Raw genomic sequence first — 20698 nt, forward strand, 5'->3', positions numbered from 1 at the left:
GAAACCTGGCCCATTTTAGGTAGTGTCTGTCCCCATTCAGTCAGCTGTGGCCAGGAGGTTGGGGTAAGAGATTAAACCTTACTTGTGTTTTTACCAAAGTCAAATAGTATCCCCAAATCGGCTTCTGTTTCAGTTATCATCACAGATTACATTTTAGGAAATGTGTATATATTTTTCTTCTGGATTCTAATTTGATCTTGTCGAACGTTTTGTAGTTTTAAAATGCGTAACAGTTTACTTCCTCCAGTAAAGTGTCAGAGAGTACCTGTGTCCCTCCCCATCCTGGCCAACACCGGGATTTTTCATATGTTTAATCTTTGCTCATCTAACAAGTTAAAATGGTATGGCATTGCAGCTCTAATTTGTATTTCTTCTATAATTTATTTATTTTTTTAAGACAGTCTCACTCTGTCACCCAGGCTGGAGCGCAGTGGCATGATTATGGCTCACTGCAGCCTTGACCTCCTGGGCTCAAGTGATTCTCCCACCTCAGCCTCCCAAGTGGCTGGGGCCACAGGCACACACCACCACACCCAGCTATTTTTTTTTTGGTAGAGATGGCGTTTCACCATGTTGCCGAGGCTAGTCTCAAACTCTTGGGCTCAAATGACCCTCTTGCCTCAGTCTCTCAAAGTGCTGGGATTATAGGCACGAGCTACTGTGCCTGGCCCTGTATTTCTTTATATTGCTTGAGGTTGAGCATTCTTCCATGTCTGCTTTTCAAATACTCAGTAGATGGATAGTTACTTCGTTCCTTTCTGTTTTTGTTCAACCAAATAGGTAGACTGTGGGGCATTTTGTGAGAGTATTAGTTTGGAAGAAGTTTCAACTTGTTCTATCAGACATGAAGTTTAGCACTAAAAATGGTTCCTCTCAGAACTGGGTAATGTGGAGTGGAGGGGGCAGTGCCTGGAGAGCATTGAAGGAAGAAGTGGCCACTGAACAGGGTGTCATGTTGGGAATTGCTGTGATTGCAAGATATCAGAACTTTACTGCAAATTGAGCCCAGCAGGGATGGGCAACCATATGGCTTAGAAAGTGACTTATGTAGGCAAGTGGTAAAGTCTTACTGAGGTTTAGTGATGCAAGCCTGATGTGGCATCGTCAATAGATGCATTTGTTTGAGGAGTCTTGCTGTTTTGGCTTTAGTTGAATGTTAAGAATAAAATTGGTACCATGTTAATACTTTTAGAATGATTTTTGACTATATCTAGTATTTAAAGCTTTTCTTTAGTTATTTCTCCAAAGCACAACAGAGTTTGGCAGATTTATGTGTGAACTTAAAATAAAATAAAAGATAATGCTGTTAGTGTAGTTTGGGGTGTAGGATACCTTCTGCCTCTGAGGGAATGTTAGACCTCATGCTTTGGATTGTTTTGAACAGAGGTAAACATACTCAATTTGACTAGATGTATCTGTAGATTTTAATGTTAGTGAGCAGTGCTGTCCTGCTTCTTGTGTTAGTTTCTTGAATGGCCACCCCCCATTGCTGGACTTACGCCAGGGCAGAAGAAGGTTCACCTCATGAGCTCAGTGTACAGGAAGGAATGGAAAACATGAACATGCTTTTGCTTTTCTATGTGTAACTTCCCCTTCCCCTTTGAAACCAATTCTTTTGGAAAGCTGCAACTGAAGACCCATATCTGAATAGCATTCTAACAGTATTTCTCATTAATATGCTTTGTCAGTCCTCAGTTTGTAAGACATTGTCAGAATGTTCTTGGTTTGAAGCCTGGATGCTTTCATTTCCCATCGCGCTAATTTCCATCCTGTTAATTTTTTATTCGTGACCCTCTGCTGAGAGGCCCCCCCAACACCTGTTAAATCACAGAGAAAAAAGTAAAATTTGTGGTATTTTTAGTTATTTCTGTACTAATAAGATTGCCACCTCTTAACTCTTTGTAAAAATGTAACATGGTATTTACTTTAACTCCAGTAATAGTTTTGAATTTTGACCTTTTTTTATTTGAGAAAAAAGAAACCCGAAAGAAGGTGGAAAATAGATTATTTGGTTAAAATTTCTTTTTCTCTTTAAATGTCTTTACTCCTACAGATGTCACCTTTAAATGTGAGTCTTAAACCAGAAATATGCCCTATAAATCTACTCACAAAAGTAATCTGGATGGGATTTAAGCCCAGGCAGATCTCAATGAGATTGTTAGGTGAGATCACCAAGGGAGGGCACACAGAGAAAGGGTCCAAATCAATATGTCAAAAGTCTGCTAAGCTAATATTTCTCTGCGTTCTTCTATGTAAAATGTGGGAATAAAATGCCACATACACTTTTTATCCTTTCAGCAGTGAGTTATTGCACACCTACTGTGTTCCATGCACTGATCTGGGCACTGGGACACATCAGTGAACAAAACCTCAAAAAAATCCCTGCCCTCACAAAGCTGACATTTTAATGGGAGAATTGGGCAGTAAAGGAGACAAATTAATAAATTATTCACATGTAGCATATTAGAAGATAATAGATGGTAATGGAGAGAACTAAATCATTTAAAAAGGGTAAGGAGGTTCAGGACTTGCAGTTTTAATTGGGGTGAGGCAGAAGTAATATTTGGGCAGAGATTTGAAGGAGGTGTGAGGGACTGAGCCACGCAGGTGTAGGTGGGTGGGGCGGAACATTCCAGGAGAGATGGTAGCAAGTGCAAAGGTCTTGGTGGGCTGCTCTCTAGTGTGTGTGTTCAGGGAGGAGACCTGCAGTAGAATGAGGAGGGGAGAGGGAGAGAGTAAGAGATGAGGACAGAGTGGTTAGGGGAGGGAAGGAAGCAGGTCATGTGGCTCTCTTAGGTCATCGTAAAGGTTTTAGATTTTCATCACACTGTGTGTGCTGAACGGCCACCAGAGGGTTTGAAATGGAAGAGAGATGTGATCCAACTTCTTTGACAGAAATGCTCTAGCTTCTCAGGAAAACAGTCTGTTGGGGAACAGAGAATAAAGTGGAGACCAGCCGGGAGGCTTGGGTGAGGATGCAAGCAGTTGAGGTGGGGGAAGCAGTAGGATTTTGATGTATTTAGAAGGTGGAAACACTAGTAGGATTTACTGGTGGATCTGACAGTGAGGGAGGGAAATTAAGGATGCCCAGGGTTTTTGACTTGAGCAGCTGAGATATGGGGTTGCCATGAACTGAGAGGGGGAGACTACGAGCTCTAGATTGCTGGGGAACGTCAGGAGTTCAATTTTGGGCATGTTATATTTCATATTAGGGTTGTGTATTAGACATCCACGTGAAGACACTGAGTTAGCTGTTGAGTATACAGTTTCAAAGTTCATGGAAGTGGTCTGGGCTGGAGATGGGAATTTGGGAGTTGTCAGGATATATGTGGCATTTAAAACCATGAGATCAGGAAAGGAGGGAGTCGGGATAGAGAAGAGAAAAGGTCCGAGGACTGAGTTGTAGGTTCTTGAGGTCGGGGATGCTTTAGGAACGGCTGGGCACTGGTGACTATTACTTGGTCACCCCTTAAGGTACTTGCATCCCTGCCGGGCTCACTGTGGGGTGTTAATCCCAGTGCACTCAGCTGTTATTTCAGAATGGATGTCTAACTGGAAAGATACTAGGTAGTCATTCAAAAGGACCTCAAAGGAGCAGGCGAGTTTTTTTTTTTTTTTTTTTGCTTTCTACCGCAGTGATTCTAGATTATTTTGGGCTTTGCTTGATTTCTGGACCAATAAGCTTTGCTGAACTGCAGTTTTAATGAAGTTCATGATATCACCAATCTCTACAAAGTGATTTATTTAACTAATCTCTAATAATAAAATATTTCAACCTGACAGCTGACTTTTTAAGAAGCATGTGATTAATAGTAGTTTGAGTGATAATTAATTTTCAGGAAAGATTCCAGAATATTGGAAATATTTTTGTTTTTTTGCGGGAGTGAATCTGTTTTATTTATGAATTTTATGGTAATTTTACCTTACAGTGTGTCTTAGCTCAGGCTGCGTAACAAAATACCACAGACTGTATAGCTTAAACAACAGAGATTTATTTTCTCATAGTTCTGGAGGCTATGAAGTCCACGAACACAGTTCCAGCAGGGTTCAGTTCCTGGTGAGGGCCATCTTTCTGGTTTACCTGCGAGTTCTTTGTCCTCAGATGGCCTTTCTTCTGAGTGGGTGCAGAGAGTGTGAGTTTGGTGTCTCTTCTTCTAAGGCCATAGGTCCCATAGGATCCAGCTCCCACCCTATGACCTCATTTAACCTTAATTACCACTATAAAGGCCCTACCTCCAAATGCATCACATTAGGGTTGGGAGCTTCCACATGATTTTGGTGGATTATATACAATTCAGTGTATAATACAATGTCTTCTCAATTTCTCTCCCTCTAATATGAAGACATTCTTATCAGTGTCTTGTCAGTTGTCTGTTCCAGGGTAATTTTTTCAGGATAAATGTCATTGAGCTGTGTATGCGTGTGCCTGTCTCTGTGGGTTAAGCATACATGGATTATTTTCTAAGGTCATTTCTGTAATGATACACAACTTGTGGCAATATTTACAGTGATTTTCTTCACAAATGTTTTTGCACAAATGTTTAAGCAGTCTAATATTTTTATTTCAGGAATTGGTTTTTGGGTTTCTGTAGCATTTGAGTACTGTTTCTAGGGGATGTTAACGGTTTTTAGGGAGTCCCTGCCGTGCAATATTGGTTCAGTGAATGGATGAATAAACTTAGGTGAATGTATGTGGGTGGGGAGTGGGGGCGTTGTACTGTAATGAAAGTGGAAATGTAAAAAATATCATCTTAGCTTGTTTATGGAAGGGTCATTTATCTTGCAAAATTTTCTACCTTTAGCATTACTGAGGAATTCATTTTGGTCCAAACCGACTTGGCCGAAGCATGGGCTTCCCTCAGCGTACTGCTTGCCGGTGCCTCCTGAGTTTTTTGGTTTGAGGGTGAGAAAGATGAAAGGTTATGAAAGTTCTGTCTTGTGAATATGCTGAAGATCAAATCATAAAGTGTCCACTCTGTTTATAATTTCACCTTTATTTTTCTAGGCCATTTACCAAGCCACCTGAAATTTGCTTTGTTTTAAATTATTGTTATTATTATTTACTGTTAGTCTTGTGCTTTATGTCTTTAAATTTAACTTCAGGTATTTTTATGTAATTGATAATATTCTTTTGTCACTGTTTTGTGTGCCTTAGCATTTATTTCATGTCATATTTTCTTGCAGATTTATTTATTTGCTCTTTTTGAGTCACATTCCAGTGGAATCCAAGGTCCATAAAAACAAGGAATTGTCTGCCTTTTACTGCATTTTATATTCAGCACTTAGGTACTAGCATATAGTAGGTATCCAATAAATATTCTTGCATAAATAAATCCTATAGACACTACTTTGCATGCTTTTCCATTTAGTGTCATGTCAGAAAAATGTTATCACATAATTAACAAGTCTTCTAAAATACTGCATAGGTCATTGCATAATAATTTATAGCTCTAACATAGTTTGCTTTAAATCAGTTCCTTCCTTTGGCTGATTTAGTTGCTTCTGTGTTTTATTACATACATAACACTGAAGGGAACATCTTCGTGTATAAATCTTTGTCCACATTTGTGTTCATTCCTTTATTCATATATTACTGTATTACTAGAAGAAGAATTAGTTACATTGATTTAGGTAATTTAAGGCTCTTAACATATAATGACAACAAAAGTATTCCAATTTATACTTTTTAAAATATAAATTTTCAAAGGGCCTTTTTCTCCTGGAATTTCATTCTTAATACTATTTTCTTCTCATTTTGTATTTACTCCCCTTGGCCATACCATCAAATGCTCTTCTATTCTAGTCCTTCAGTTCCAGCGAGGGCTAATTTATGGCCTCTGCTCCAAGGTCTAACTCTGCATTTGTTAGATATCTGGTGGTTCCCCCGGTACCTCAAGATCACCATCTCCAAAAGTGTAATTATTTTTCCATCAAAACCTGCTCTTTGCTGTTCTGTTCCCTTTTGAGATAAATGAAGGTAAAATCTTTTCAGCACTCAAGCTGGAATTGTGGGAGTGATCGTCAGTTCCTCCGTTTCCTCTTGATCCTCAGCTAACTTGTATATGCCCTTTGACTCTTGCGCTCCTGGCTGCAGCAGTGGCCTAAGCTTACTACCGTCTCCTTTCTGGACGATTGTATTACTGCCCTGTTGTAGCTCCTGTATCACTTTCCCCGTGTACATCATTCATACTGCCAAAGTTACCTCCCTGGAACGCCTGTTTTCTATTCCTTTCCTAAGTAAATTAAGTTCCTTCCAACTCTCCCGGTTACTTGTAGATCCTCCTTATTTAACAGGGGCTCTGTGTGCTCTGCCTAGTCCTTCCCTAGTCTGCCTTCTGTCATTTCCTGGGGATTTTTCTTCCTTCTCCTTCTTGGGTATCTTGACCTTTTGGAGCTCCACATTGTCTGTCTTCCTCATTCACTCCTCTGTGGCTGCTCTCTGGCAGACTTCTTTGTCTAGAATACTGTCCCTCAGTTGTTCGTTTAACATTCATCTTCAGATTCAGCTCTGGGAAGTCTTTCTTTACCTACCATTTCCCAACAACAACTTCCTTTTCTGTATAACCACCAGCAGTGTATAAGTACCTTGATAACGTAGTCTTCAATGTCATTTGTTGCTAATATTTATGTGTATGTTTGTATCATAGACAGTATGAGTGTTATTTATCTTTGATCCCATGGCACTTACCATAAAGACTTGCAGAAAAGATATTTAACAAATGTTAGTTGAACAAAGGAATATCTCAGGAGGAACGTACTTTGACTTGATGTCTTTTTGGTGTTCTTTCTTCCTGTTTCTGTCTGATATTGTTTCCATTCAGTCTGAAGAACTTCAGCATCTTTTTAAATATGGATCTGCTCAGCTTTGGCTTATCAGAAAATGTCTATTTTGCCTTCCTTTTTAAATATTAAACCTTTTATTTTTATATAGTAATAATCTCACAGAACATGGCAAAAAAGAAGTTCACAGTTCCATGTACCCTTGCCCAGCTTCCCCAAAGGTGACATCTTTTATAGCTTGTAGTACAATACCAAAACCAATAAATTGATACTGGTACGTACTAACGACCTTATTCACTGTTCACTGTATTTTAAACTGCAGGTGTGTGTGTGTGAGTGTGTAAAGTTCTCTGCAGTTTTAGCACATGTGTAGATTCGTATAACCGCTGCCACCTTCAAGATACAGTACTGTCCCATCACCACAAAATCTCCCTTGTGCAATTTCTTTGTACCCTCAGCCATCCTATTCCTTGTCCCTGGCCCCTGTTCTTCATCTCTATTAGTTGTATCATTTTCAGAATGTTACATACATGAAATCATACCATATTTAACCTTTGTGATTACTTTTTTCACTAAGCAAAATGTCTTTGAGGTCTGTCCGGGTTGTTTTATGTATCAATTGTTCATTCCTTTGTATTGCTGAGCAGTTTACAATTGTATGGATATACCAGAGTTGGTTCAACAATCCACGCAAACAACATTTGCATTGTTTCTGCTATTTTGCTATTATGAGTAAAGCTGCTATGGACATTTGTGTACAGGTTTTTCTATGAATATATTTTCTCTGGGATAAATACCCATGAATGTGATTATTGGAAAGTGAATCTTTAGTTTTGTAAGAATGTGCCAAACTATTTTCCAGAGTAGCTGTACTATTTTACATTTTCACCAGCAGTGTGTAAGTGATCCTTTTTTTTTTTTTTTTTTGCATCCTCACCAGACTTTGGTATTATCACTGTTTATTTTAACTGTTCTAACCTGAATAATGATATCTCATTGTGGTTTTAATTTGCATTCTTCTAATGCCTAATAATGTTGACCATCTTTTCTTCTGCTTATTTGCCGTCTGTATATCCTCTTTGGTGAAATGTTTATTTTTTTTTTGCTCTTTTCATAATTGGATTGTTTACTTTTTTTTTTAAAAAAAGCTAGTTTTGAGAGTTCTCTCTCTAGTTTTTTTCATTAGACAAAGAATCTTGTATGACAGTCATTTTCCCCACACCTCAGCATTCTAAACATGTCAGTTCATCATATTCTGACTTTAATTATTTTTGATAAAATTTAGCCTTCTTAAATGTTGCCCTTATTGCAGTTTTCTGCAAGTCATATGTCTCATTTTCCTCTGGTTGCTTTGAGTATTTTCTCTTTGTCTTTGGTTTTTAGCAATTTGGCTATGATGTGCCTAGGTGTGATTTTTCTTTGTGTTTACTATCTTTGGGTTTAATGAGCTTCTTCGATCTGTGGGTTGATGTCCTTCATTACATTTGGAAAATTATCAGATTATTATTTCTTAAGATATCTTTTATCCGGTTCTCTCCTTGTCTTCTGGGACTCCAGTATATTCAAGCCATTTATTATTTCTCAGCTCTTGGGCAGTTTCCTTGTTTGTTTTCCATTTTTCTCTCTCTGCAGCTCATAGAACCACCTTCTGCTATGTCCAGTTTTCTGTTAAGCTCATCGAATGAGTTCTTTCTTTCTGAAATTGTAATTTCCATTTCTGGCTTTTCTATTTACCTATTTTGTTATTTTACTCTGATGAAATCTTCCAACTGCTCATGTTCACCTGCTCATCTTTCTCACTAAGTCTTTTAGTACATTTATCATAGTTATGTCTACTGGTTGCAACATCAGGATCATATATGGATGTACCCTCTGTTGACTTTTTAAAAATGGACCATGTTTGTCTCCTCCTTGTGTCCCATTATTTCTATTTATTATTATTATTTTTTTGAGACATCTCACTCTGTCACCCAGGCTGGAGTGCAGTGGTGCAATCTCATCCCACTGCAACCTCTGCCTCCTGGCTTTAAGCCATTCTTATGCCTCAGCCTCCTGAGTAGTTGGAATTAACAGGTGTGTGCCACCACACCCGGCTAATGTTTTGTATTTTTAGTAGAGATGGGGCTTCGCCATGTTGGCCAGGCTGATCTCGAACTCCTGGCTTCAAGTGATCTGCCCGCCTGGGCCTCCGAAAGTGCTGGGATTACAGGCGTGAGCCACCACGCCTGGCCCCTTGATTTTTTGTTGTTGTTGTTGTTGTTGTTGTTTTTACGTTTTAGTCTTTTTTTTTTATTATACTTTAAGTTTTAGGGTACATGTGCACAACGTGCAGGTTTGTTACATATGTATATATGTGCCATGTTGGTGTGCTGCACCCATTAACTTGTCATTTAACATGTTAATGCTATCCCTCTGCCTTCCCCCAGAACAGGCCCCGGTGTGTGATGTTCCCCTTCCTGTGTCCATGTGTTCTCATTGTTCAATTCCCACCTATGAGTGAGAACGTGCGGTGTTTGGTTTTTTGTCCTTGCGATAGTTTGCTGAGAATGATAGTTTCCAGCTTCATCCATGTCCCTACAAAGGACATGAACTCGTCATTTTTTATGGCTGCATAGTATTCCATGGTGTATATGTGCCACATTTTCTTAATCCAGTCTATCATTGTTGGACATTTGGCCTGGTTCCAAGTCTTTGCTATTGTGAATAGTGCCGCAATAAACATACGTGTGCATGTGTCTTTATAGCAGCATGATTTATAATCCTTTGGGTATATACCCAGTAATGGGATTGCTGGGTCAAATGGTATTTCTAGTTCAAGATCCCTGAGGAATCGCCACACTGACTTCCACAATAGTTGAACTAGTTTACAGTCCCACCAACAGTGTAAAAGTGTTTCTGTTTCTCCACATCCTCTCCAGCACCTGTTGTTTCCTGTCTTTCTAATGATCGCCATTCTAACCGGTATGAGATGGTATCTCATTGTGGTTTTGATTTGCATTTCTCTGATGGCCAGTGATGATGAGCGTTTTTTCATGTGTCTTTTGGCTGCATAAATGTCTTCTTTTGAGAAGTGTCTGTTCATATCCTTTGCCCACTTTTTGATGGGGTTGTTTTTTTCTTGTAAATTTGTTTGAGTTCATTGTAGATTCTGGATATTAGCCCTTTGTCAGATGAGTAGATTGCAAAAATTTTCTCCCATTCTGTAGTGCCTCTTCACTCTGATGGTAGTTCCTTTTGCTGTGCAGAAGCTCTTCGGCCCGATGATTTTTTATTGTTTGCTGGACATTAAGAACAAGAAAGACTGAGGAATATCTATCCCGGCAAAAGGCTTGCTCTTCCTTTTGTCACACTGTTAATGAGGGGGACTGAGCTGGATCTGGGCTTTGAAGTAGCATTAATTAGAGTCAGTTTACCATTGGATTCACATAGTTTGAGAGTGGGATCACGAGTTTGTTTTCGGCAGTTTTCACTCCGAACCCCAGTAAGATCTTGGAGATCTCTTTATGCTTCAGAGCCAAGCTGCCAGCTTCCTGAGTGGTGGGAGATTTCTCTTTGTTTTATAGCTTGGCTGCTAGCCTTTCTGGACAGTGGTGAGTTATTTATACTCTTTCGATGGCTTTCAGCTCCTCAGAAGGTATCTCTTTGCCCTGCTCTTTTTAATTTTATTTATTATTATTTATTTTTTGAGACGGAGTCTCGCTCTGTTGCCCAGACTGGAGTGCACTGGCACGATCTTGGCTCGCTGCATCCTCTGTCTCCAGGGTTCAAACGATTCTCCTGCCTTAGCCTCATGAGTAGCTGGGATTACACATGCATGCCACCGCGCCTGGCTAATTTTTGTATTTTTAGTAGAGACAGGGCTTCGCCATGTTGGTCTCGAACTCCTGACCTCGGGTGATTCACCCGTCTTGGTCTCCCAAAGTGCTGGGATTACAGGCGTCAGCCGCTGCGCCTGGCCTGCCCTGCTCTTCTTTTCATTTCTTTTTTTTTTTTTTTTTGAGACGGAGTCTTGCTCTGTCACCCAGGCTGGAGTGCAGTGGCTGATCTCGACTCACAGCAACCTCTGCCTCCTGAGTTCAAGCAGTTCTCCTGCCTCAGCCTCTGGTGAAGCTGGGATTACAGGTGCCTGCCACCAAGCCCGGCTAATTTTCTGTATTTTTTGTAGAGATGGTAAAAGCTGATTTCTGTCCACTTACTTGCCTTCCTCCTGGTGTCAGGCTGCTGCTCTGCATCTAGGGACTTCACAGGTGCCTGACGTGACATAGGGGCTCTCTCAGCTCTCCTGCCCTAGCACCTTGTGCACTACCCATGTGTATTTGATTAAGGCCCACAGGAAAGAGTTGGCAAGTGGATGCAGATTTGCTGTGTTTTGGGGCTCCTGGAGATTCTAATCTATCATTTCAGCTCACATGGAGACATTAAAAGTTTGTTAACAGTTCAGCTGGTATCTTCTTACCCTTATCTATTGGCAGATTCTTTGTCTTTCCACCACTTTGCCACAGATGAAAACAGCTGTGGATTACTACTTTGCCTATGAAGGCCTTCTTGATATCTGATACTTACTTCCTGTAGGTTTCTTTGTGTTCTATCCACATTTTCTAAATCCTGGGGCAAATTGTCTCTGTGTAATGTTATAGAATGGAGGTTACAGTCATCCCATGGGATTTGATTCATTGAGGCAAAGTGGATAAAATATTTCCAAAAGGCATCATTTCTAAGTGGACTGGGGAGTTCACACCTTGGCTTTGCCACTTAGAGCTTTGTAGTAGTATTCAGTTACTCTCTGAAAGTACTGCTTTGTTAATTGGAGGTTAAAACACCCACATCTGTCATCCTCTTTGGGCTCCGAAGATTAAATGATGCAGAAGTACAAAGTAAACTTCCCAGGGCTTGAGTGGTTTGACTAGGATTACTGTAGGAAAGATTTTGAGATTTACCTTTAATGGTAGAGTGGGCAGTAAGGTGAGTGGGATGGATACAGGATGGCTTTACATTTCCTGAGCTGTCTTTACAGCAAGATTATATTTCATTTCAAATAAAAGAAGAGAAGGCTAGTGGTTAAAAGCATGGTCTCTGAAAAAAGGTTTTCTAGGTTTGACTCTCAACTCTATTATGTACTGTGTGACCTGGGGCAAGCCACTTCACTTCTCTGTTTCTTAGTTCCTTTGTTTGTAAAATGGGGATATTAATAGTTCCTACTTCATAGGATTGCTATGAGGACCAAGTGAGAGGCTAAGAATGTAAAGCAGAGTTCTGGCTCAGCATGGCAGGCTCAGTAGCAGTGAAGTACATTGCTTCTCATTTTTTCCTTTCTGGTTGCTCTCATGTCAGGGCAGGGCAGAGACAATCCTGGTTAGCTTTTCATCCCAGCAGAGAATTCAGATACAAATCCTGATTAAGAAGGTGTATTTAGTAAGATGTTTCACAATGCTCATGGGAGCTGGGGTGTCTCCGTTCTGCTGTTGGTTGGTTAGTACTGGAGGCCAGATGTTTTAGCTCCTCTTTCATGACTTTAATCTTGTGTTGGATTCATCACCAAAAGACGAACAGGAGCATCCGCTCTGCATTACTTATTACCTCCAAGAAGAAACACTGTCGCAGCACTGTAGAATGTTAATGTCTCTTCCCTACACACCCTCTCTCCACCTCTCCACTTCTGTCTTTCCTCCTTTCCTTAGTTGTGGGAATGTGGTATATAGTCAGGGTGATTTCTTTGTGGCAGGGTAGAGATGATTAGCAATTTGGTTCTCTTAGGTTGAAAATGCTTACATTTATAGGTTATATAGTAGATAGAGCCATGCTGTGTTGAAATCTCATGGTTTTGTGGGTTTATATAGTGTATTTTCAGCACTTTTAGGTGCAATAACATTCACTTGCTTTCAGATGTATTTTAAAAATTGCTGATTACTTTTGTATTAAGATTTGAGGTCATTAATTTTAAGCAGATTGATAAAAATGGTACTTAATCTCTGTGTATTTGGTATGTGAATTACGTAGCATTTATTTTAGGAAATTTCCATGGAATTCCATTTATCTCAGCAGTTTTGAGGGGAGAAGATAATACTGTAGATGTAACTTACTGGAGTGCTTTAATTTTAATTCTGTTGACTGTCTCTGTGTATAGGTTTATTACCACTTTAATTTCTTCAGTTTACTTTGTATGTGGAGTTCTATAGTCATTTAATCATTATTCCTGTGCTCAAGGTTCTACAGAGATGAGGCCTGCCTTTGGGCTCTTCTAGACTTTGAAAGAAGCATCTTGTCACTGGAGTATGGATGATGGGGGATGATGGAGAGGATAGGGGCAGAATCTGGATCTTGGTACCCTCCTGCCTTCAGGGTTGACAGATTCAGCTGGCATTTTATGCAGAATTCAAGTTATTAACAGAAAACTCTACAAGAGCAAATGAAGCTTTAGTTAAATAAACATGAGGATTTCAAATATCAGAATATCAACTGTTTGGAATATCTACATTCCTGTACCCTTTCAGTGAGTAAATTGGCCATAATTATCTTTATTTGTAGAAAACAAAGAGGTGCTGGTTCAGGGATATGTGATATATTGGCCACTGGCCTCAAGCATGAGTTTTGTCATTTGGAGACAGATCAGTGCTGCCACCTAACCTCAAAGAATGAGGATGTGGCCTGTCATCTGCATACACAAATGCAAAGATATCATCACTTCCTTTTTGCCAAGAGTGGGCTGAGTAAATTTGCCAGATTGTGGTGATTGTGCTTGTCTGCCGACAGGGAGCATGTTTTGCTTTTAGTTGTCCAGGGATAATAACTGCCGGTTATTAAATGCCTCTGCTACCTTGCTGTGTTCTTTGTCCATAAGACTTCATCCTCCCCTTCACATTTTAAGGGGAGGTATGGTTAGCTTTATTTTTATAAAAGGGGAGCTTGAGACTCAAACAGTACTAACTCTTCCAAGGTCCAGAGCTTTTCGATGGTAGTTCCGGGGTGGAACTCAGATCTCTGACCCCCATACCTCTGATCTTTCCCCTTTACCATGCAGCCTCTGGGCTTCAGAAAATGTTTCCTACAGGATTATATTGGATGCCACTGATTAAATGATTACTGCTACTTAATTAATTGGAGATAGAATTTGATGCTAGAAATGTTTTTGGCAATAATGAGTTACTTAGGTGACTGAACTTTTACATTTATTTCTAGGAGGTCATTTTTTCCTTGTTTTTGTTCGTTTGTATCTTCTCTCATAAATTGTAGTATTCTTGTGGCATGATGGTGGGCCATTTAGTTCCCTGATTACTTTAGATATAGTGAGTTAGGTTTTGACTAGAGGCTCAGGAGCTTTGAATGTAGACATGTTGTAAAAATGGTACTGCTGTGTTTGTCAGTTTTGTTTGAACACATAGGATCCCCTGTGGGTACAGGTTTATGAATCTCTTTGTTATAGTGGCCACTATTATACTTTATCCTCAGAGAGAGAAAAAGAAAAACTGAAGTTATTTGTTGAATTGCACATGAAATCTTTATGTCAGGTTTAGTATTATAGAGGTAATTTTGAAATATAGTTTGATTTTGGAGTATTTAAAAATTGTCATGGTAATAATGAAAAAAATACCTCTGCAATGCAGTATTTACATCTTGCTATTTCTATTTGATAATGTACAGATTTTCTGTATATTTCGTGCACTTATGTCATGATTTTCATTATTTTCTTTGTCCAAATGTAAGACTCAACACATTTAATGAAACTAAGTGGAAATCCTGATCTGGTTATGATCTAACCCGTTGGTATCCAACAGATTGCTGACTGTGTAGTATTTTAGCCCAGGATATTTGTCACCTGATTTTTAAGTCTGAGCTTGAAGAGGAAGGCGATAAGGGCCCATGGGGAGGTAAGAGTAACTGCTGTTGGTACCTCTGTTAAATTTGTCTTTCTCCTGAAATAGCTGTGGAAGTGTGGAGCTGCAGGTATAAGCTGAAGGTAAAAAAGACAGCACTATTCTTCTTCTGGCCAGTTGTAGAAAGCTCAGCAGCTTCTTGTGTCGGGGCCTGGGTGGTACCTTTTGTAGGGGTTGGACTGTAGTTAATGTGAGGACAGATTAGAAAATCTGGTTTCAGAGAGCAAGGTGAGGCTGGAAGTTAAAGGTGTTCCAGCACCTGAACAGGAACCAGGTGAATATTCAGGAATCAAGGTAGGTCAAATCAAGGAAATAAAAACACAAATAACTAGTTGTTTGGTTGAGCAGGTGCTCAGGAGGCAATAGGAAGTCAGAGACCAGGGATGGGATATAGGCATGGGAGAAAGGCAGAGACTCAAACCAGTAAAGGATATAAAGCAACTTTAAGCACAGTTAAGAAAACCTCTTTTGGGCTGTGTGTGGTGGTTCACACCTATAATCTTGGCATTTGGGAGGCTGAGGCAGGAGGATCACTTGAGGCCAGAGTTTGAGACCAGCCTGGGCAGCACAGTGAGACTCTGTGTCTCTCTACTAAAAATATTTGTAAAAAACTTTAAAAAAGGGAAACCTCTTTTATACTTATTTATGATGGCCTGTGAACAACTTCAAGGATTTTCTGGTTGGAGACAGGATGGTGGGGCCAAAGCTAAGGGTAATGCCCTGGTTTGGTTGCTGAAATTAAGGAAAGAAAGACATTTGTCTACCAGGTGATTCATAGGTGGCATGATAAACAGTAGTTTAATGTATAGAGTTGAGAAGACAAAACACAGGCCTCTGAAGGTAAATCCCAGTGGAAAGTAGCATGTGTTGGGTTTCACACTGGTGATACTCCTAGTGAGTTCTGTTGGAGTTAGGAGGGTGGGGTGATCTAGCTAGGTTGGTGTGGTCCTGCAGCCATAGTGAAGAAGATAGAGTCAGTCATAGAAGGAGTGGAGTTTGGAATAAACCTTGGGACTTAGGTGAGATAGATGTAGGTGAGTGTGTCTTCCACCTGTATTTACTGTGTGATTTTTTTTGGATGAGTCTTCCATTAGACTGTTTCCTAATTTGCAAGATAGTTAAACTAATTCCTACCTTGCAGGTGTCAAGGTTGTAGGGGATTAAATGAGATGATTTATGTGAAAGCCCTTTGTAAATGGCACTGTGGATTCAGATGTAAGTTGTTATTAATAAATTGCCAGTTGCAATGGGGAGCCTGTTGGATAAGAGCTTTAATTCATTCATCATATGTAAATGAGGTGGTACTCTTTGCAATCAAAGCTGTTTAATGAAGGTCATGATTAGGGGGAAAGAGTCAGGCGGCTGTTTTTAAGTAAGGTTGGTGTATGCCTGAGATTTCACTTATAAACTTATAAATACATAATTAGTATTGAAAATTACTGTTTAATGTGCATCCGAAGTGCTTTGCATTTTTTTGGTTGATAAAAATAAATGTATTTGAAGAGTAAGTTACTGAACTATAAAAAAAAGAAGGAGTCCATTTAGTAGCAAAATTACACGATGCTTCTCATTCTACATTCTGAAATAGGCTATTTTTAGCATCTCTTTGAATCAGGGATGAATTCTAGTTATAGGGTTCAGTAATTAAAGCAGAGAAAAATACAAAGTAGTTTGGGCAAGAAAATCTTTTTACTTGGGTTGGATTTGTTTCAAGGTTTAAACTGTCATCTCAAGGGCCTCCCTGGAAGCCACTGTTTTTGTAATCTTTGTGGGGTCAAGAGCAACAGAAAGTGCCAAAAGATCAGCCAAGGACACAGTGTCCCACTTTTTTAGAACAGGGGAGTTTTAAAACTTCTGGAATCCTGGTATTTCATAACTGGTGATCTTGTATCTGTGTTCTCTGCACAATCCTGGACAGAGGCGCCAGGGTCCTTTGGTCTCTCCCTGTCTTTCCTGTCCTCAGGCCCTTCCTTCTGGTCAGTGCTTCCACCCTCAGGACCTCTGCCCCTCTGTCCAGCTGCCCTGCTGGCCCCTGGTTTTCCTCCAGTTCTCAGTCTGCCTTTGAGTATTGCTAAAGAAAACTGCTTAATGATGCCCTTGGTACCAGTCCACATTTGTATTTAATGATGGTAGATTATTCAGAATGTTGCTGAATAGCTTCTTTACTTGGTTCTAGTCAGCAGTCTTTGCTCAAGCTGGAAGCCTTGTTTTATCATGAGAAAGTTATTATTATTTTATCTTTTTATGCCCGTTACAAAGAAGCTCATTAACTGTTTGGTGGAGTTGAAACAACTGTTGATTCAAATTCTCATGCTCATGCTTGTGTGGCACTTAAAAGTGGTGATCACAGAGGCAACTCAGGGTCACTAAATACGGGGCAAGTTCAGCTTTTCTAGTTGAAGTAGATTAGGAAGATGCATTTTTTTTTAAACCTCTGCATTTGGGGAAAAAAAATAACTTTCACAAATGTTTTTGAGTGTTGTCTATGTGCCAAGTATTGTGCCAAGTGCTGGAATTAAAAAGAAAAAGATTTGTCACAGTGAAGAATGGAATTAGGGATCAAAGTATTAGGATCCACAGGTGGCTGCCCGGGGCCAGACCTGTCTACTGTGAACATTAAAAAACGAAGCTTAACTGTTACCCGAAGGCAGAAACATCGATTAGATAATCGAGTTTTCCTTTGGAAACCAATTATATTTACTACGGATTTCTAACCATTTTCAACCTCTAAATTTTTTTATTTCTAGTAGTTCACTTTTTGTTGTGGTAATGAATAACTAGGCAAATGCAAGAGTAGAACTCAATTTGAACTTAAATCATCTTGGTTTTAGGTTTTTGTTTGCTCATTTGTTTACTATTTGTTTTGTTCTGAATCCACATTGATTGAGAGGGTGCCATGAATTCCTTTCTGTGTGAAACCCTGGGATTGGTACTGAGATGCAGTGAACATGCCCCAGCTCTGGTGGGTTGTTCAGGCTGGTGGGGCGGCACCTGGTGGTGCAGTAACAGTACTTGGTGCTCTTTATTGCTTGCTAAATGAGGTAGACGGCTCTTCCCATGGGTTAGCTCATTTAATTCTCACAGTCTAATTTTTGTAGTTAGGGAAACTTAGGTTTAAATAAACTGCTCAGAGTTTTCTGTAGCCTCACAGGAGACAGACAGGTGGATACACACACACTTTATTTCAGGAGCAAGTTCTCCATCTGGAGCTGTTTGACTTTCTCTTTTTTCTTTTCTCTTTTTTTTCGTGTGTGTGTGTGTGTGTGTGTGTGTGTGTGTGTGTGTGTGTGTCTGTGGCGGGGACAGGATCTCACTCTGTTACCTAGGCTGGAATGCAATGGTGTGATTGTAGCTCACTGCAGGCTTGACCTCCCAAGCTGAAGCGATCCTCCCACCTCAGCCTCCTGAGTAGCTGGAACTACAGGTGTGCGTCACCATGCCCAGCTAATTTTTTTTTTTTTTTTTAAGATACGGATTTTGCCCTGTTGCCCGGGCTGGTCTCAAACTCCTGGGCTCAAGCAATCCTCTTGCCTCAGCCTCCCAAAAGGCTGGGATTACAGGTGTGAGCCACTGCCCTGGCCCTTTGACTACCTCTCGTAGCACAATATTTAGTTGGTGATAAGAGTTTATCTTCATGTTGACTTTGTATACTCTTTGCATCTCAAAGGACAGAAATCAGTCTCTTGGTGTCACTGTTCCTCTCTTGTTTACTGCAGCTGGAACCAGTCTTCTGTCGTAGCACTTTCCATGCTCAGTAGTCCCCCCATATCCGAGGTTTCACTTACCGCAGTTTCAGTTACTGGCAGTCACCTGTGGTCTGAAAATATTAAGATAATTTTGTGCATGCACATGAGAGAGAGACCACATTCATGTGACTTTTATTACAGTATGTTGGTGTAATTGTTCTATTTTATTATGAGTTATTGTTAGTCTTACTGTGCCTAATTTATAAGTTAAATGTGCCTAATTTATAAAATAAGTTATCATAGGTATGTCTGTATAGGAGAAAATTTAGTATATAGGGTTTAGTACTATCCGCAGTTTTAGGCATCTGCTGAGTGTCTTGGACTGTATACCTCTCAGATGGTAGGGAGGGTTCCTGTGTCTCTCCACTTAACACTTTCTAGCTTGTGGTGTGGTATTTTTTGATATAATGCTTTACGTTTGTGTGATTCATAGTTATATTTCTAATGCCTAATAGTGGGCTAGTGTCAAAAGGCAAATTAAAAATCTAATTAAAAATAAAGATCTAATTGGCTTTTATTTGTGATTCTAGCATTGAATCGTACCTCATTCTGTAAAACAGGATGGGTGTTCCAGTGAACTGAGGAGAGGAGCTTGGCTTTATAGGCAAAAAAAAGGCTGAAGAAAGCAGAAATAAAGAATGAACAGCAGATTGGTCATTTCAGAATTACTTTCCTTACAGGGTTAAAACAGAGGAAACTTTTCTTATTATCCCAGCTCAGGTAAACTGGGCCTCTTCTGATTGGTGGCCATGAATCTCTTATTTTTGTTTTTTGTTTTTAATAGAAAACTGGCTTGTTTCAGAGCAGTTTTTTGTTTTGTTTTTTTTTTGAAACAGGGTCTTGCTCTGTCGCCCAGACTGGAGTGCTGTGGAGTGATCTCAGCTCACTCACTGCAGTGTCAGCCTCCCGGGCTCAGGTGATCCTCCTGCTTCAGCCTTCTGAGTAGGTGGAACCACAGGAGTGGGCCCCCATGCCTAGCTAATTTTTAAATTATTTGTAGAGATGAGGTCTCCATGTGTTGCCCAGGCTGGTCTCAAACTCCTAGGCTTAAGAGATAATCCTACCTAGGCCTCTCAAAATGCTGGGATTACAGGCATGAGCCACCGTACCCAGCTGAGTTCAGTTTAAGTGGTAGTTACCACAAGTGATTCCATTCTGGTTTGGTGTGGTCTACTGGGGCCTAGTACAGGAGCTCAGTCCGAAATAATGTACCCCTCCCCACCCCCCCGTCCCCCTTAAACTGTGTTGAACAGTAGTAAATGCTTGAATGAATTGAAGAGTGGTTGATGTGGTCCAGATCGTTGCCTGGGTTATCAGATTCTCTGGCGAGGGACTGTTAGCCCAGAGGTATGGGCCACTCATGGATCTTTACAATGCCATATCAGGCATGGGTTCCTTTTTCTTTGTATTTTACTAGGCAGTTATTCATTAAATGGAAGAGAAAGAAAATATTATCTTACGATTCTTGTATTTAGATCTGTGGTAAGTAATTTTTGAGTGAATAAAGTACTCAAAACTCAGAGAATTTCTCTTTATTTGCTCTCTCTTAGTATAATTAATACAGTTTTATTGAAATTAAAATGCACCTAGCTGAGAATGTGATACACATAGGTGTTCAGTGAATGTCAGCTAACGTTATTTTTGTTTTAGCTTACAGCAGTATCTCTTCTGCTACTTGTTTTGTATTTATTTATGTTTGTTTACTCTTCCCCACCAGATAAACTTTCTGGGGGGCAAAGACCTTACTATTTGACATTGTTTTTGCCTCACTTTCTATAAGAGGTCAATTATGTGTTGAATTGTATGGTGGGGCCAGCTAAAATGTGTTCATACTGGCTCTGACTTTAAAAGGTGCGGAACCGTTGTAGCAATGGGGTATCGAAGCTCAGGTAGTCAACCTGAGAGACCAAGAAAGAGGAGAAACACAAAGATTGCTGTCTTGTTATGCTAGACATATGCTTTTTGCTAAAAAATTCATATTCGACATTCTTACGAGATATATTTCTCTGAATCTAGGAGTGGTTACATTTCTATAGTGTCTTGCAATCTCATAAATAGAACATTATACGTGAATAGTTAAAAACATTGATGATGTGATCTCATCGATAGAAGTGAAAAGAAGAACATAGAATTTCAGCCTGGTTTAGGAGGTAAGGCTGGAAAAATAAGTGGGGAAATAGAGCTATATCTCGAGCTAGCTTCTCATTTCTGGAAAACTAGAATTTGGAGGCTTACAAGAGATGTCAGGGACCAAAATAGTAAATCCAAATACAATCAGATTAGGATAATATTGATAGATTA

The 20698-nt window shown here is 39.8% G+C and overlaps 1 protein-coding gene across 7 annotated transcripts in view; it reads left to right on the plus strand.

Moving 5' to 3' along the window:
* Nucleotides 1-20698, plus strand: part of WASF3 (WASP family member 3) — a 149810-nt gene that overhangs the window by 49285 nt on the left and 79827 nt on the right. For 2 of the 7 annotated variants that reach the window (XM_047430059.1, XM_047430063.1), the window contains exon 1: nt 5190-5299. The exons of the other annotated variants lie outside the window; for them this stretch is intronic. The gene's annotated coding sequence lies outside the window, so the exon portion shown is untranslated. Of the gene's footprint in view, nt 1-5189; nt 5300-20698 lie in introns of those variants that run through there. 7 annotated transcript variants of the gene reach the window in all.

The sequence above is a fragment of the Homo sapiens genome, chromosome 13 (assembly GCF_000001405.40).
Source record: "Homo sapiens chromosome 13, GRCh38.p14 Primary Assembly".
Classification (NCBI taxonomy): domain Eukaryota; kingdom Metazoa; phylum Chordata; class Mammalia; order Primates; family Hominidae; genus Homo; species Homo sapiens.